This window comes from Homo sapiens, chromosome 18 (assembly GCF_000001405.40).
Source record: "Homo sapiens chromosome 18, GRCh38.p14 Primary Assembly".
Classification (NCBI taxonomy): domain Eukaryota; kingdom Metazoa; phylum Chordata; class Mammalia; order Primates; family Hominidae; genus Homo; species Homo sapiens.
In genome coordinates, this window is record NC_000018.10 from 73931270 (window position 1) to 73946588 (window position 15319).

Genomic DNA, 15319 nt, shown 5'->3' on the forward strand with positions numbered 1-15319 from the left:
GAAAGAGAAAATTTGTTCTCAATAATTATACCAGACTAAGGAACACTTCTCACCATTTTCTCTCCAGCTCTCCAGATCTACCAGAAAAGAAAAAAATCAGATTAAAGGTTGTAACTCCCAAAATTGAAGAACTGTATTCCTGTATATTTTACCTTTTCCTTCAAAGAACAAGTTTCTGCTAATATTCTTTGTCCAACCATGCAGAAGAGTAAGTAGATTTGAAACACACACACACATACACAAACACACCACATTTTGTAGGCACTACATAGAGGTCAAAAGACACACATAAGCTATTTGGGTTCAAATTTATTTTTCCTTCATTTTCTGAAATATTTTATTAATGCCTATGATTTGCTAAATGCAAATTTATGAAAGGGAGATTGATATGGTTTGGCTGTGTCCCCACTCAAATCTCATCTTGACTTGTAGCTCCCATAATCCCCACGTGTCATGGGAGGGACCCAGTGGGAGGTAATTGAATCATGGGGGTGGGTTTTTTCCATGCTGGTCTCATGACAGTGAATAAGTCTCATGAGATCTGATGGTTTTATGCATGGGAGTTCCCCTGCACATGCTCTCTTGCCTGCTGCCATGTAAGACGTGTCTTTGCTCCTCCTTCACCTTCAGCCATGATTGTGAGGCCTTCCCAGTCATGTGGAACTGTGAGTCCAGTAAACCTCTTTTTCTTTATAAATTACTCAGTCTCAGGTATGTCTTTATTAACAGCATGAGAATGGGCTAATACAGGGCCATTCATATGAGAGGAAATGTTTAGTTCAAAGAAATGCTGACTTCAGCCTATCATTTCTTACATTTGAATAACCAGGAAAAGGATCTAAACCGTTTGAATTTTAACACATTTTATGGCCTCTTTATATCCTTCCAAAGTGCATTCATACTTATATAATATAATGAACTACCCACCTGACTCGAATTCTTTCCTTGTCTAGTTAGAGGTGGCATTTGAGTTAGCTGACCAGCTATTGTAAATACAAATGAATTTTTCTAGGAAAAGACACAAACTCACACTGGATAGTTTATTGTGGTGTTTATTGCACACCTGGGGACTGAGTTTTATTACCTGCCTACCTTGGTGAGAAACAGACTACAATGGCCAGGAATCATTCTGTGTTCTGTGTGAAGGAGGTATTTAATTTGTATCTTGGTTGTACCTTGGTTGGGGAGGTCCAGTTATTTGCAAAATGAGTTCAATCCAAATAATGAGCTAAAGCATAGGCTGAAATGGAGCCATTTCTTCATCAAGCAGGACCAATTCCCCAAACCAAAACAGTTGAAAGCATTTTACCTTTCCCACATTACCTGGGAAACTGCTGTGAAGAAGAAAGCCTGGGAGCGTGGAACCCACGAATATTGCTGGTACTAAATCTAATGGCCAAATGGAAAAGCTAAGTTTGGTTCCAATAATAGAAAGAATATTGAAGAATTTCTAAAAGGGATCACAGTAGCATTTCCTGAAAACACTAGAGCTGTGATTCTTATACTTTTGGGGATTATTTTAAGAATATGTTGAAAGCTACAAGCTGTCTCTCTAGCAGTTCAAGGACACCCTGAAGGCTGCATGGACCCCAGGTTAAGCTCCTGCAGGAAAGGAAAACTGTCACTTCTGAGGTGTCTATGAATTCTCTGTCTTCCTTTTAACTACAGAAACTCTTAATAAAAGTAGCTCTCATTGCCCAGAAATATATATTTTTATATCTTCTGAATAATCTTTACAACAACCATGCAGTGGGCTTCACCCCTAGTTCAGTGGCTATTACCCCCAGTTCAGAATTGAGGAAACTGAGGCTGCGAGAGATGGGTTGCATATTTGTCCAGAGACACACAGCTGGTGAGGGATAGAAGCAGCCTCCTGGCCCAGAGTCCTGGGGTGGGAGGTGTCCTCCTCATCTTGGGTGGAGTAGAGGACGATATGCTTACTCTGATTTACATGATAAAGGAACATGACTTCAGTGAATACAGCTGACAAAATAAGGGAACTCTGTACATGGGGGCCTCAGACCTCTTGAGCCCACTGTGGCCTACAGCACGTCGGTGTAACAAGCAAGCTAAAATTTCAAGACTTTCCCAAGCAGAACCCACTTGGGACCTGCAAAACCGATTGGAATTCAAGGCCAGGCCTCAAAGCCCATCCACATCAACTCTCTCTGGCTTGATTTAATACCTGGCCTTGATTCTGGGCCATGCATTTAAAGAGAGTGGGAAGAAATACAGTTTTTATTAGCATTTTGGAACAAAGTAATGTTTGATTATCAGTTATTTTGAACAAATAACCAAATCTATTATTCAACTGTATACACACATTCCCTGTCACGGTCTAGAAATAACCGAAGGAAATTGTCCAAATTTACTAATTCAACCCCTGGAAAGACTTTTGTTGGTTTTATTTTTATTAACCAGTTTAGCTCTCTCTACAGCCTAAATTTACAACATGATTTTTATACTTTCTGGTTCAGTTTATATTGTGTAAGCCTATGAGCTGAAAATAAAATGAGTATGTAGGTAATTTATGGGAGAAAGAGAACTTGCCAAGAGGTTGTATTAGTCAGGGATGAGGTGCTAAGGAAGTTGTATGACCGAGATTGCTAATTGCAGCCTTGGCAAAGACAGAAACAGAGATGTAGAAAGATGCTGATTAGGCACAGATGTGTGCATGGGTGTGTACAAGAGTGCATGTGTGTATGCACATATATGTGCGTGTGTGTGTTTTAATTAGGCTCTTTCAGTTGGCAGTGAAAAGAGACAAGCATTTCCATCGAGTAATGGAATTTATATGGAAAACATGTAGAGAAATAAGGAAGCATGGGTTACCTCTACACAGGTGGACAAGGAAGTGCCTGGGAAGACGGTGTCTCATTCGGGACATAACAGCCTTCTCCCGTTGCGTGTGCTCACTGTGCCAGCCTTCTGATGGGTCTTGCGTGACCCCCACCTACTCCCGGGTGCTGTGTCTGTGCACTTCTGCTGCTGTCTGGCTCTCCTGCCTCACTGTCCCTCCCCTTGACAAGATCTGTCCCCACTTACCTCAGAGCCCCACTGCCATTCAGGAGGGCTCTCCAGCCAGGGCTCTCTTCAGCCTGCAGTCTCACCTTGGCTGAAAGACCAAGTTGAGAAGGCCACTGTTTACACAGCCTTAAGAGATTCGAGAATAAAGAACTATCCAAGACCCAGTTCCCCAAAGAAGCTGTGCATATTGATCTTTGCTGCACAGACATCTACAAGGCTACTTTGAGGCAAATCTGTTTGTTATAATGTAGGGTAAATGCACCTGATAGCAATCACAGCAATAACTTAAACATAGCCATAGAATGACCCTGTATGGCAGATGCACCTAGATTTGTGTTCTGAGAGTAGCCAGCCTGGAGATTCGTTCCTTCTCTATGAGGAATATTGGAACCCCGGACTTGGCCTGTAAGACATAGGCTGTACAGGGGATTGAAGCCCTGAGTTTTGGGTTAAATGAAGGCTGCCAGGTAGATGTTGTTAAGGGGAAGGTATTAAGTGAAAATGCTATATAAACTGCATGCTGTTTGCAAGTGTTTTCAGTTCTCCTGTCCAGTGCGCCGCCACTGGACTCGCTCTGGGTCTCTTCTTCAGCCTCTTGAACCTGGTACCACCTCACTGAGGTTAACAGCCATTCAGCACAGCATATAAGGATGCCAGGATCAAAATCAGAGAGCCACCAAGGATAAAGGCAAACTTCACTCCTATGGCCTCAATGGCACCTCTGTGGTCTCTGACGACCTGGGATATTCTGAGTGATGAAAGTTATTTATATTTTCCTGTCCAGATTCCGGAGGAGGAAGTCTTATTGGCTTATCAAACACAGCCCTCCTCACCAGGCCACTGTGGGAAATGCCAAAGACAGACACATATAGAGCTTGCTGGATTGTGTTGTCAGCATGGAAGCACCATGCCCCCAACGCCCGGGACTATATTCCCCAGTCTCCCTCTCTGTACAGTTCCAGATTAGAGTGGATCCTCGAAACACTAACCATAGGGATTACCATATGGCCTAGCAATTGTTCCTAGACATGTACCCCAAACAATTGAAAGCAGGGACTCTAACAAACATCTGCGTGCCAATGTACATTGCAGCTCAGGCCTGTGCCTGTGCACCAGGACAATGAGGGTAAGGGGTTTGTTCTCTGACACTTCCAGGCCTTTCCTTACCCAGCCCTCCCTACCTTGGCAAGTTTTCATTCCCATATTTAATTCTCTATTCCCAGAACACTTAGAGGGGGCTCTTTTTCCAGCTAGTGAAAGTCCCCACTCCTGGCCCCACTGAAAATTATCCTCTAAGAAGGACAGCCAGGTCTTCTTCCCTGAGTGGAGAGCTGGGTGTGGGGTCGGCAACGCCAACCACTGTCCGAACAGCACTTCACAGTTCAGGAAGAGCTGTCCGCATGTAGTATCCCCCTCCACTGGGACTAGGGCTGTGTTATTATTTTGAGAAGTGTAAATGGAGACACAGAAAGGTTAAGTGGCCTCCGAGAATAGTGAATTCCTAAGTGATGGCGTGGGGTCTGGGTCTGTCTCGATTTCTCTGGGCCATCAGCACTCGTTCCTCTTGTGACCTGGGGCTCAGTAGTGAGAATGCCTCTGGGCAGCTGGGTGAGGTCCAAGCATGTGTGGCTCCTGTCCACTTCCAACCAACCTGGCTCACTCAGGCTTCCTCGGAGTAAGCCCCAAACCCCACCTAAGAAGCCTGTAAAGTTAGGATTTGTTTTACAAATTATTGTTATGGAGCTCATTAGTGTTACCCTATTTGTCTTTTACCGTTAGTATTGATTTTTCAGATTCACCCATCACAGAGCGTCTGGGCACATGCCCAAGACAGATGCATGCTAATTAAACTCTGAGCATCCTCACTCTCGATCTCATGCACGTGTGTCCCCGTATCATAAACCAGGCAAATGTCAGGATAGTCAGATGGCCCTGGAATCATGTGCAGTAAAAGTGACCAAATTCCAACAGGTACCTCCAGCTTTAAAAGTTCCCTGTGGGTTAGACACGTTCTTGTAATGCACCCTCAACATTATGGTACCACAGCGACAAGCAGGGCCCCACCCCTGACTGCCAAGGCAAGTTTCCACGTTCTTGGGAGGGGTGGAGGCCCTCCTGCAGAGTGCACTAGTTCCTGCTTTGGTAAGAATGGCTGGTGCATTAGCCCCAGTGCCATGGTGCCCCTGAGGACAACAGTCATCATTTAAACCAGAGACCCTTGGGCAAGGCTGGTCCTGAGCCAGGACCCTCTCAGGTTCTGTGTCCCCTGAAGGATTGTGTTCAGACCCAGACCTTGGGGGCTGCCATGCGAACACTCTCTCAGGTTCTGTGTGCACATGGTGACTGAGGCCCCAACTTCCAACCCTGGCACTAGAGTGAGATATCAATCCGCCACTTCCAAAGGTGTAAACGTCACTAGCAGTCTGAAAGTTCAGGGTAGTGATGCTCAGCTGAGGGCCACTCTGCTCCCCCCAGGGGACATTTGGCAACGTCTCAGACTATTTGGTTGTCACGACCAGACAGGGTGCTACTGGTATAAAGTGGGCAGAGGCCTGGGATGTGCTGAACATCCTACAAAGCCAATGCCCAGGACAGCATCACATCAAGGAGTTAACCAGCCCGAAGTTCAATGGAACAGATTGAGAAACCCTGGACTAGAGAATTCTTACCTTGTGCTTCTTCTTCTAAAGACTTTTAAAAGGTTAAAATCATTACAATGTACTACATTACAAGTTGACCATTTTTATTTCTACCTTCAAACCAATATGCTTAACAGCGGAAATATAATCTCCAATATATTTAAGATGTTGCACCTATACTTGTCATGCATCTTTTTAAATTTTGGTCAGTTTCTTAAGTCTTTTCTTACTTGTTTGAACACTGAGGTTCTATTTACTACAGGTTGAGAATCCCTTATCCAGAATGCTTGGGACCAGATGTGTTTCAGATTTCACATTTTTTTCAATTTTGGAATATTTGCATTATACTTAGCATCCCTAATCTGAAAATCTGAAGACCAAAATGCCCCAGTGAGCATTTCCTTTGAGTGTTGTATCAGCACTCAAAGTGTTAGATTTGGGAACATTTCAGATTTTTGGATTAGGGATGCTCAACCTGCATTTGTGGAGATGTACGGTCCAGAGGGCACATGGGAGACAGAATTTTCTTTTTCTTCCCCAGTAAGAGAAGACCCTGTCTCCTGCCTTTAGGAATGTGGAAGCACATTTGGAAAATGAAGGCACTGCGAGGGTGTCTGTGCTCATACAATGTGGACAGTAAGAGCTATCAGCGCATAGAAACCACTGCAGGCTAACATGGTCTCAGGAGACTCCTTGAGAAGGTCAAATTTGGTCTGGACCTTCAAGGAAAAGTTGGAGTTGGAAAGGCAATGGGAGAAAAATGCTGAACAATGCATGACACACAGGCTTTGCTGAGCACGCTGAACTCAGTGCCCAGGGCAAGAGAAGTGTGAAGAACAGGATCTGTATCCGGGAGCACCAGGAGTTGAATCTGGAAAGTTGAGAACCAGATTACAAATTGCCGTGAAGAGCAGGTTTAGGCTGCTACAGAACATTCTGGAGCAATGGATTTATAAAATGAAAGAAGCATTTTCATAAATGAAATTGGTCACTTTAAATAAGCGAAATTAGAGGTCAGAAAGACAATTAAGAGATCCCGTGATAATTGAGGACCAGTGAAAAAGGCCATGATTGGGGTGAGATTTTGAGCCTGGGTGGTGAATAAATAGTATTTGTTCTTGTTATTATCAAGAAATTAGAGGTTACCAAAAGTGGAAGAGGGAACAGGAGAAGGATGAAGGATTGCGCTCAGTTCTTTGAGGAAGGAAGAAGCAGAGAATGCTATCTCCATCTTTTGAACCTTAAATAATTCCTCAACCTTATAAAATCTGCATCTTCCATCACTTTATTGAAACTTGTCTTAATATAGAAGTCACAGTGACCTCATAATTGGTCAGTCTAGTTGCTTGAATTTCAACCATTTCAACCTACTTAATTTTCCCATTTTTTTAACTACTTGAATTTTATGTTTTTAGTGCACAGTCAACGTGCATTTTTAAAAATGTGTTTTCATGCAAATATTTTGTATTACTTTCAGGCAGTGTGCCATGCCAGGCACAATCAGAAACCTGAAAGAGCAAGGTGGCTCCATCCTCGGGGATGAAACTGCTGAGCAGAGCAGGAGGGGGCCCGTGGGTGGGACGCCCCCCCATGCACCCACCCACCCTTCCTCAGTAAGGATTGAACTGTACCCAGGGTCAGAACAAGGCACTGAAGGCCTGTAAGCAGGAGCGAGACAGACTCAGGTTTGCATGTTTGAAACCATATTTGGGAAGCATCTTTCCTACAAACCATCTTTGTGCTGTGTGGACAAGACCCCACAGGGGTGAGGGTGGATGGTGGGGACAGCCAGGGAGCTGCTGCAGGTTCCTCCAGGAATCAGTGTGGTGATGGAGTGGCGGGAGCTCTGGGAGAGATGGACTGAGAGGCCTCCCTTAGCAACTGGGCAAAACTCCCTTCCAGGTGTCTGGCAGGAGCATCTGAGCAGAGGAGCCCAGAGGGAGTGCCTGGGAAGGAGGGAAGCTGCAGAGCCCAGTTTGGATGCATGAAATATTGCTGCCTGGGACATGCCTGTTGAGCGTCCTGCAGTGAAGAGAAGGTGCTGAGCCCAGGAACGCAGTCTGGGGCAGGAGATGGTACCCCTTGCTTTCTACAGAGCTCCCTCTTCCTCCTCAGGCTTGCATGGACCCCTCCTCCGCCGCCGCCCTGTTTCAGCAGTGATAATGTCCAGAACCCCCAGCTCTCAAGGCTGTGCTTTGTCTCTCCTAGGACAACCTCACCCTGGCACAGGACTCCAGCCCTACCTTGATGCAGAATATGCAGACATCCTCACCTGACTCCTGGCAAACTATCCACCTGCCATCGATTTTTTTTTGGTGCTTTTTTGGTATCTTTTGCTTAACAAAGAAAATCTGAGCTCATTTTCTTTCCTAAAAGAGAAAGAAGAGGGCCTCCTCCTCTGTTTATGGTTTTACCCTTTACCCAAATGTCCAGCCCCCAAATGCAGATCCATCTCCTTAGCTGGGGAATCCCAGTCATTCTGGAAGCTGTGGAGATTCCGTCTCAGAGCTGCACCTGCTTCTCCTTCCTCTCCTGACAGCCTTAGTCCATGCCCTCCTCACAACCTTGCTAACTCACAGTTGCTTCTGACTTCTTCTTCCTCTCACCAGCCTTTCAAACTCCAGCATACCCTCCACATTGTACTAGGGGTATTACTTTAGCAAGCAAACTGACCCCATCACCACCCAGCCATAGCACCCACTGCCCCCTGTGGTCTAAGGACACACCTGGGCTGGGCACACACAGCCCTGAACAGCCTGGCCCCATCCTGCTCTGCACAACTCTCCTGTCACCACTCCACCACCTCCCATCTCCCGGCATCCTTGCCATTCCTCGAATGCACGCGGACTCCTTGCCTTTACATCTGCTGCTCTCTCCACTTAAATCCTCTCCACCTAAAAAGCCTATTCTCTGTTCAAAGGCCACATCTCCTGGGAACCATCCCTGCCTCCTCCAAGTGAACTGGGTGTTTTGCAACTTATCTCTTTGGTTGTCTATATTTACAAAAGTCTCCTATCTCTTCTTTGAATCCTTTGATTCTTTGAATCTTGAGGACAAAAGAAGCCAAGGGTTGGCTACATTTCATTTCCCCTGTTCTGAGTCCTGCCTGCCCATTAGAGCCCCCCGGGAAGCATCTTTCCTACAACCCTGCCTGGGCCTCCCTACAGAGATTCCAGTTCCCTTGATGGGGCAGGGTTGGGCTGATAGGATCTTGCAGCTCCCCAGGTCATGAAAATGGGCAGCTGGAGCCGAGAACCAGAGTGAGAAACAGGAAATCACTGGCAGATATTTCTACCAGGAAGAAGAATTTAGAAGATGTGAGTGAGGGGAAGCAGGAAGACACCCCCACACTCAGACACCCAAGGGGGGACGAATTCAGCAGTCCAAGTGACTTGGCAAGGCTGAAAGCCAAGTTGCTGGAGATCCTGGTAAGTGTATGATGGGCTAGAATTTGCCTAGATGTGCTCAAGCCAGATGGAGAAATTGGAGATAAGATTCTACATCACGTCACGGGGTAGAAGAGGAAGGTGAAAGATTATCTTAATTCTCCTTACTCTTAGCCCTTCCTCCCGGGATCCACCTGCATGACAGTGTGATTCATGTGAAATGTGCTCCACGCCTTCAAAATAAGAGGCCAGGGCATTCTTCATGCTTCCACCCCTTGTCCTCCACGCTCTTCAGAGGCTTGGAGAATTCTTTAGGAGGATTCCATTACTAATAGAGTGAAGGGAGAGATGAGCCCAAGGAGCCCCCGGCATTCAAGGCTGCAACAGGTTCCCCTTCAGCTGCCTAAATTCCCTCTTCTCTGTTCCAGGTGTCTCATTTTGTGTCTCTAGCCCAGGAGTGTATTCCCATCAATTTCCTCTGCCTCTGCTTCTGATGAAGTCCTGATGATCCGTTTGTGGGTAAGCAGTGATTTCTGCCTTCTTGTGGCGAAGACAGCCCCAGGCTCCAGCTCAGCACCCATCTGGAGGACCTGGGAGTCGGGGCCAGGGCTGCCTTGCCTGGGCCTGACCAGCCACAGGACGATAAGCCCCGGGACGTCTGAAACCCTCACCCATGGGAAACGTGCACAGGAGCAGAGGATGACATTTGGGAAGGAACAAAATAGCACAACATGTAGGAAGTTGTGAGAGAAAGATTATTTAATCCTCTTCCGAAATGCTGGCTGAGCTCCAGAAGCAGTAGGCAGAAGACCAGTTTAGAAAAGTGAAAACTAATCTGAATAATGATGAGAGCGCTTGTGTCAGGAACTGGCCCAGCAAACTCATTTATAGCCTTGTAAGTGGGGGAATAATTGAATCTTCCTGCAAAAATGAACATGCCACATAAAAGAGATCAAATTGGATTTCTCTCACCAGGACGTAGATCAGCAACTCATATTTATGCCCCATGCAGTTGGATAAATAATTACATAATCAAAAGAAAATATCTTTATTTTAGAGCCTTACAAATGGCGTTTAACTTCATTCTATATGTCAGATTCCATTGAAACTAGTTCCAGGTTTGCCTGGTCAGAAGAGGGGTATTTTGTTTGTTTGTTTGTTTGTTTTTGAGTTTTGAAATAATGCTGCATCTGAAATCAGATTCCAAAACATACATTCTTTTGTCAAAAGCAGAAACAATAAGCAGCCTTCTTTAACATTGCCTCTCAGGTAATGAGACACTACCAACTGTAGCCATTCATCCTTGAAGAAAGAAGCCAGTGTATTTGTGCCCGGGCTACCTCACCTCATGTAGAAGCGCACTCTAGCCTCTGCTCACCTTGTCTGTAAATGGCACAACCCCAGGGAACAGAGTACATTTGGGTCTGACCCCTGTGCTGGAAGACACCCAAGAACCACTTGTAAGATTAAGGAGTGGGGAGGTGGGTTTGTACTTGAAATGGACCCTGTGCTGGAAAAGTGGGGGGCACAGGTCCATGTACCAGGCCATGCTGATGAGGTCAGGAAGACTGGCATGACCCCACACAGTTTAACTGGCTTTCAGAGTAGGTCTCTCCTCCCCTCTTTTACTGCTTTAGAACAAAAATATTGTTTTCCAACTAAAATAGCTCACTTGTCTCTGTGCCCCCATAATAAACTGACAGGTGCTATGTAAATAAAATACAAAGGAATTATTTGCAACCAGAAAAAAATTCAAAGCTTATCAAATTAAAAATTAGAAAATCATGGAATAAAGGTTCTAGACCTGAACGCTCGTCCTCATGGCAGTTTTCTAGGAAGTGAGATTCTGCTCCCAGGGTTAGCATCTTCATCATAATAATCCCCGATGCTTCCTCCATGGCAGCATCGCTTTAAGCGCTTTACACAGGTCACATCCCACGGTGGGGGAGGAAGTGTTGGTAGCTTTGCTTTGTAGTAAGTAGCCGAGGCATAGCTATTTTAGTCAAGATCACACAGCCAGTAAATATCACAACTGGGAGAGGAAGCCAGGCAATCCCAGGCCAGGGCACAGGTAGGCACCTGCCACACTATGCACTATGTCAACACCATGCACTATGTCAACACCATCAGAATTGCCTAAAGGCAGCAACTGCACTAAGCAATTTACAGACATGGCTACATTTGGTCTGCACTTCCTGCAACCTTCTAAGATGGATACTCATCCCCTCAACGTACAGGTGAGGAAAATGCAGTTCATAGAGTTAGGATAAGACTGACTCCAAGGTCTGGGCCTTCAACTACTAGGGGGGCAGGGGGCAGGGCACCCCGGTGAACCACCTGCTGCACAAGTCACTTTTAGGGGTTCGCACACCTCAGCATGTGCACCAGAGATGACTACTTCTGCCACACATGAACCGTTAGAAGCTTCCTCCAGTCCTTGGCCTGGCAGTCATTTCCCTAATACGCATTATCGCTGCTCTGAAACCCTTCTGAGAAGTCTGAAAATTTACTTCCACATCAAAATGTGGCCTATTGACACTTTCTCAGGATATCAACTGTATACGCACACATGTAGAAACATACGTACATGCATATGTACACACATGGACCCACACACAAAGGCGCACACACACGCAGAGCACACAAAGCCTAGCCATTTGCCCACGTTAGGGTCACTATGATCATGACTGCCTCCTAATTAGGATGGATTTCCCCAGGAAGAAATGCCTGTTCTGCTGCCTAGCACCCTTCTGTGTTTGTTATTTGGGTTTGGGAACGGAAGCTAGAAGCAGCTGATTTTTTTCACATAAGGATAAAGGTTGGAATTCATGAGAAGACCAAGGAAGCGAGAGGCTGGGAAGATGACAGAGGCCACAGGTATGCAACATTACCTCTCCCAAGGGCCTCCAGATCCGAAGGCAGGCCCATTATATATTTGGATGCTTCTGGGTGTGCTGTCTTTTGGGGGAGTGGGGGCTATAGGAAGGGACTGGGATCTATTTCAAAGTAGTATGGTTAAGAAGCAGTCCTTGAGCATCACGAAGCCAAGGAGGCAAGTTGAGCTTCCTGGACCCTCATGGGTGTCCTGGGGGGAACCTGAGACCTGTAACATGCCACGGAATTAGTGAGTGTTCCAGCCAGTGTTGCCCGGAGCCAGAGGGGAAGGCAGGGGCCTGTGGCCTGGCCTCTCAGTTGCAGTTCCACAGAAAGGGCTCACATGGGGCTCAGGGACTTTGAGTATTAAAAAATGAAAGAACATAGGGGCTCAGGTGAAGACAGCAAGTTTCTCCCATGAAAAGCCTTCACCCTGCTCATGCCTCCGGAGAAGGAAAGGCACGGCCACCAGACTGTGCCCTTTCTACCAATTCACGGGGCCCACAGGCTCCAGTTACTCTTCCTCCTCATCAAGCCCCCATGAAGCGTGTAACAGGTGCTTGTTTTAAATACCTCTTTACTGCACTAAAGGACTTGCCTGCCAGACATTTCAAACCTCCCAGAGGGCCCATCCACAGACACAGCATCCTTTGGAGGGCTGTGCAGCCCACGGAGAGTGGTGGAACCATTTGGACGCAGAACACACCAGGGGTGGGAAGCGTTGTCACCTCTCCAACCTGGAAACCAGCCGGCTCCATGGGCTGACCCCCTCCCTCTCTTCAGTAGCACCGCCGCCAACTTCCAGTCCATCATCCCCAGAGGGGCCCTGGCTGTCTTGCTAAAATAATAATGCCAGTTTTGCCAACAAACCCGGTGGATCTCTCACTTCGAATGAACAATCACATTTACAAACCTGCACCATCTGGCCTCAGTCCATCCTCCCACCTCCTTCCCCACGGCTCCACCCACACCACAAAGTCCCTCCACTAAGCCCTCTCCACAGCCAAGGCCCCCTCCCCACCGTTGTCATGCTGTTCCTTCTTCCTTTAATGTTCTTCTCTACTTATTTGCCTGTCAAATTCATTTTTATCATTCCAGATCCAGATGTTAACTCCTCCATGAGGATTTCTTCTCCTACACTCTTTCAAAGATACTCATTTACTAACCCCGTCTGCTAGATGGCCATAATAATTTGTTAAAACTTATATTATATTATACTTTCAACCTCTAGAGTCTGGATACATGTATAGATAGGTAGAGAGAGACAGGGATTTACATATATACATATTGATTAGCATATGTATATTGATAAATATATAGAGAGAGATTTTATATATATATATATATATATATATATATATATATATATTTCTACCTCTAGACAAGAATGAAGTATGCTTAACTCTGTATCCTCAGTGCTAACTGCGACACCCAGTATGTGCTAAGTATTTGGAAATGCTTTGTGAAAGAACGAATTGATATATGGAAGGATGCCATTCAGGTTTATGAACACAACTAAACACAGTTACCCTCCTGTGAAAAGAAGGCATACAAATCAAGGAAGAAAGTCTGGGAGAAGCTTTCTTGTCTTGAAGGACAGTTTAGCACCATGACTAAGAATACAGGTTATGAAGATTGAATGACTGGGTTTAAATCCTTCTTTCACATTGACTAGCTATTTCCTCCACACCTCACTGTCCTCATCTGAACCATGTGGGTGACTGATAATAGCACCTGCCTCCTAGGGTTACTGGGAGGATTAAATGAGCTGATGCCCGTGGGGAACTTAGGCCCCCACACCTAGGCCCTCAAATCTAGAGCAGTGTGTACTCCATGCATGCCCCTGTTATTATTACCTTACTGCCTCTCCCCTGCCTTGATGTTCCAGGAATTCTCCTCTCCCCAAGGTTCATAATAATTCACAGTGGGAGCTTGTGGACATCAAGGTGACTCAAATCTTCAAAAGGAAACAAGATGAATGCCAGAGTTTATTTAAATGAGTATAGGTCCTGGATTTATTTTTCTTCCTGAGTCATTGCCCTGAGAGGATGACAAATAGGAAGCAAAGCCATTTTAAGACATGGCACTGCAGAGTTTGGGACAGCTCAGACCCATTTGGCCTCAGTAACTGGAGTTTTCCCATGAAAGTAGTCAATCTGAGAACAAGAATGTTCACTCGTTCCAGAAAATGGATTGAGTACATACTCCAGACCATGCCATGGTTTTATACACTACTCCCTGCTCCACACCACCAGGCCATGAGTGTACAGTCTTGGCCATGCTTCACATCAGGCCATGAGTGCATAGTGTACACCGTGCTTCAAATCAGATGATGAGCACATAGTCTACACCATGCTCCATGCCAGGCCATAAGCACATAGCCTAGGCCATGCTCCATACCAGGCCATGAGTGCACAGCCTACACCATGCTTCATATCAAGTGATGAGCACAGAGTATACAGCCTACCCCATACCAGGTCATGAGTGCACAGCCTACGCCATGCTTCAAACTAGATGATAAGCACATAGTCTACACAATGCTCCATACCAGGCCATGAGTACATAATCTAGGCCATGCTTCACACCAGGCCATAAGCACATAGTCTACACCATGCTTCAAATCAGATGATGAGTGCATAGTCCAACACCATGCTCCATACCAGACCATAAGCACATAGTCTAGGCCATGCTCCATACCAGGCCATGAGTGCACAGCCTACACCACGCTTCAAACTAGATGATAATCACATAGTCTACACCATGCTCCATACCAAGCCATGAGTACATAATCAGGGCGATACTCCACACCAGGCCATGAGCCCATAGTCTACACCATGCTTCATATCATATGATGAACACATAATCTACACCATGCTGCATACCCAACAATGTGCTACATTTTGAGATGCACAGGTGAACAAAATGGCACCCCTGACCTTGTAGAGCTTAGTCTAGCAAAGGAGAAGAATATTCATGTTTGTATTAAATACCATAAGGAAAGTACTCCATGCACAATGAGGATCTAGAGCAGAGTGACCTTCCCTAGGATTAAGAGTTAGAGAAGCTTTTCTGCAGGTGACACGTGAGCAGAAACCTGACAGCTGGGAAGGAGTTAACTAGGATAAGAAGGGAAGGTGCACTCTCCAGGGGAGTCAGAATTAGCACAGGTGCTAGAAGCCAGGGAGCTTGCACAGACGCTTCCGGGACATTTGTTTACAATGGAGGAAGAAGGCCAAGGGAATGCAGGCCATGTAGAAGATTTTTTTCCTTCTCCTAAGAATAATGGGAAATGACTGAAAGTTTTAAGCAAAGTTGTGACTGCTTTCCTTCACAGAATGGAAGAAATGGTGGAGAAAATCACCTTTGTGGCCCCATAGGAAAATCAAGACTACA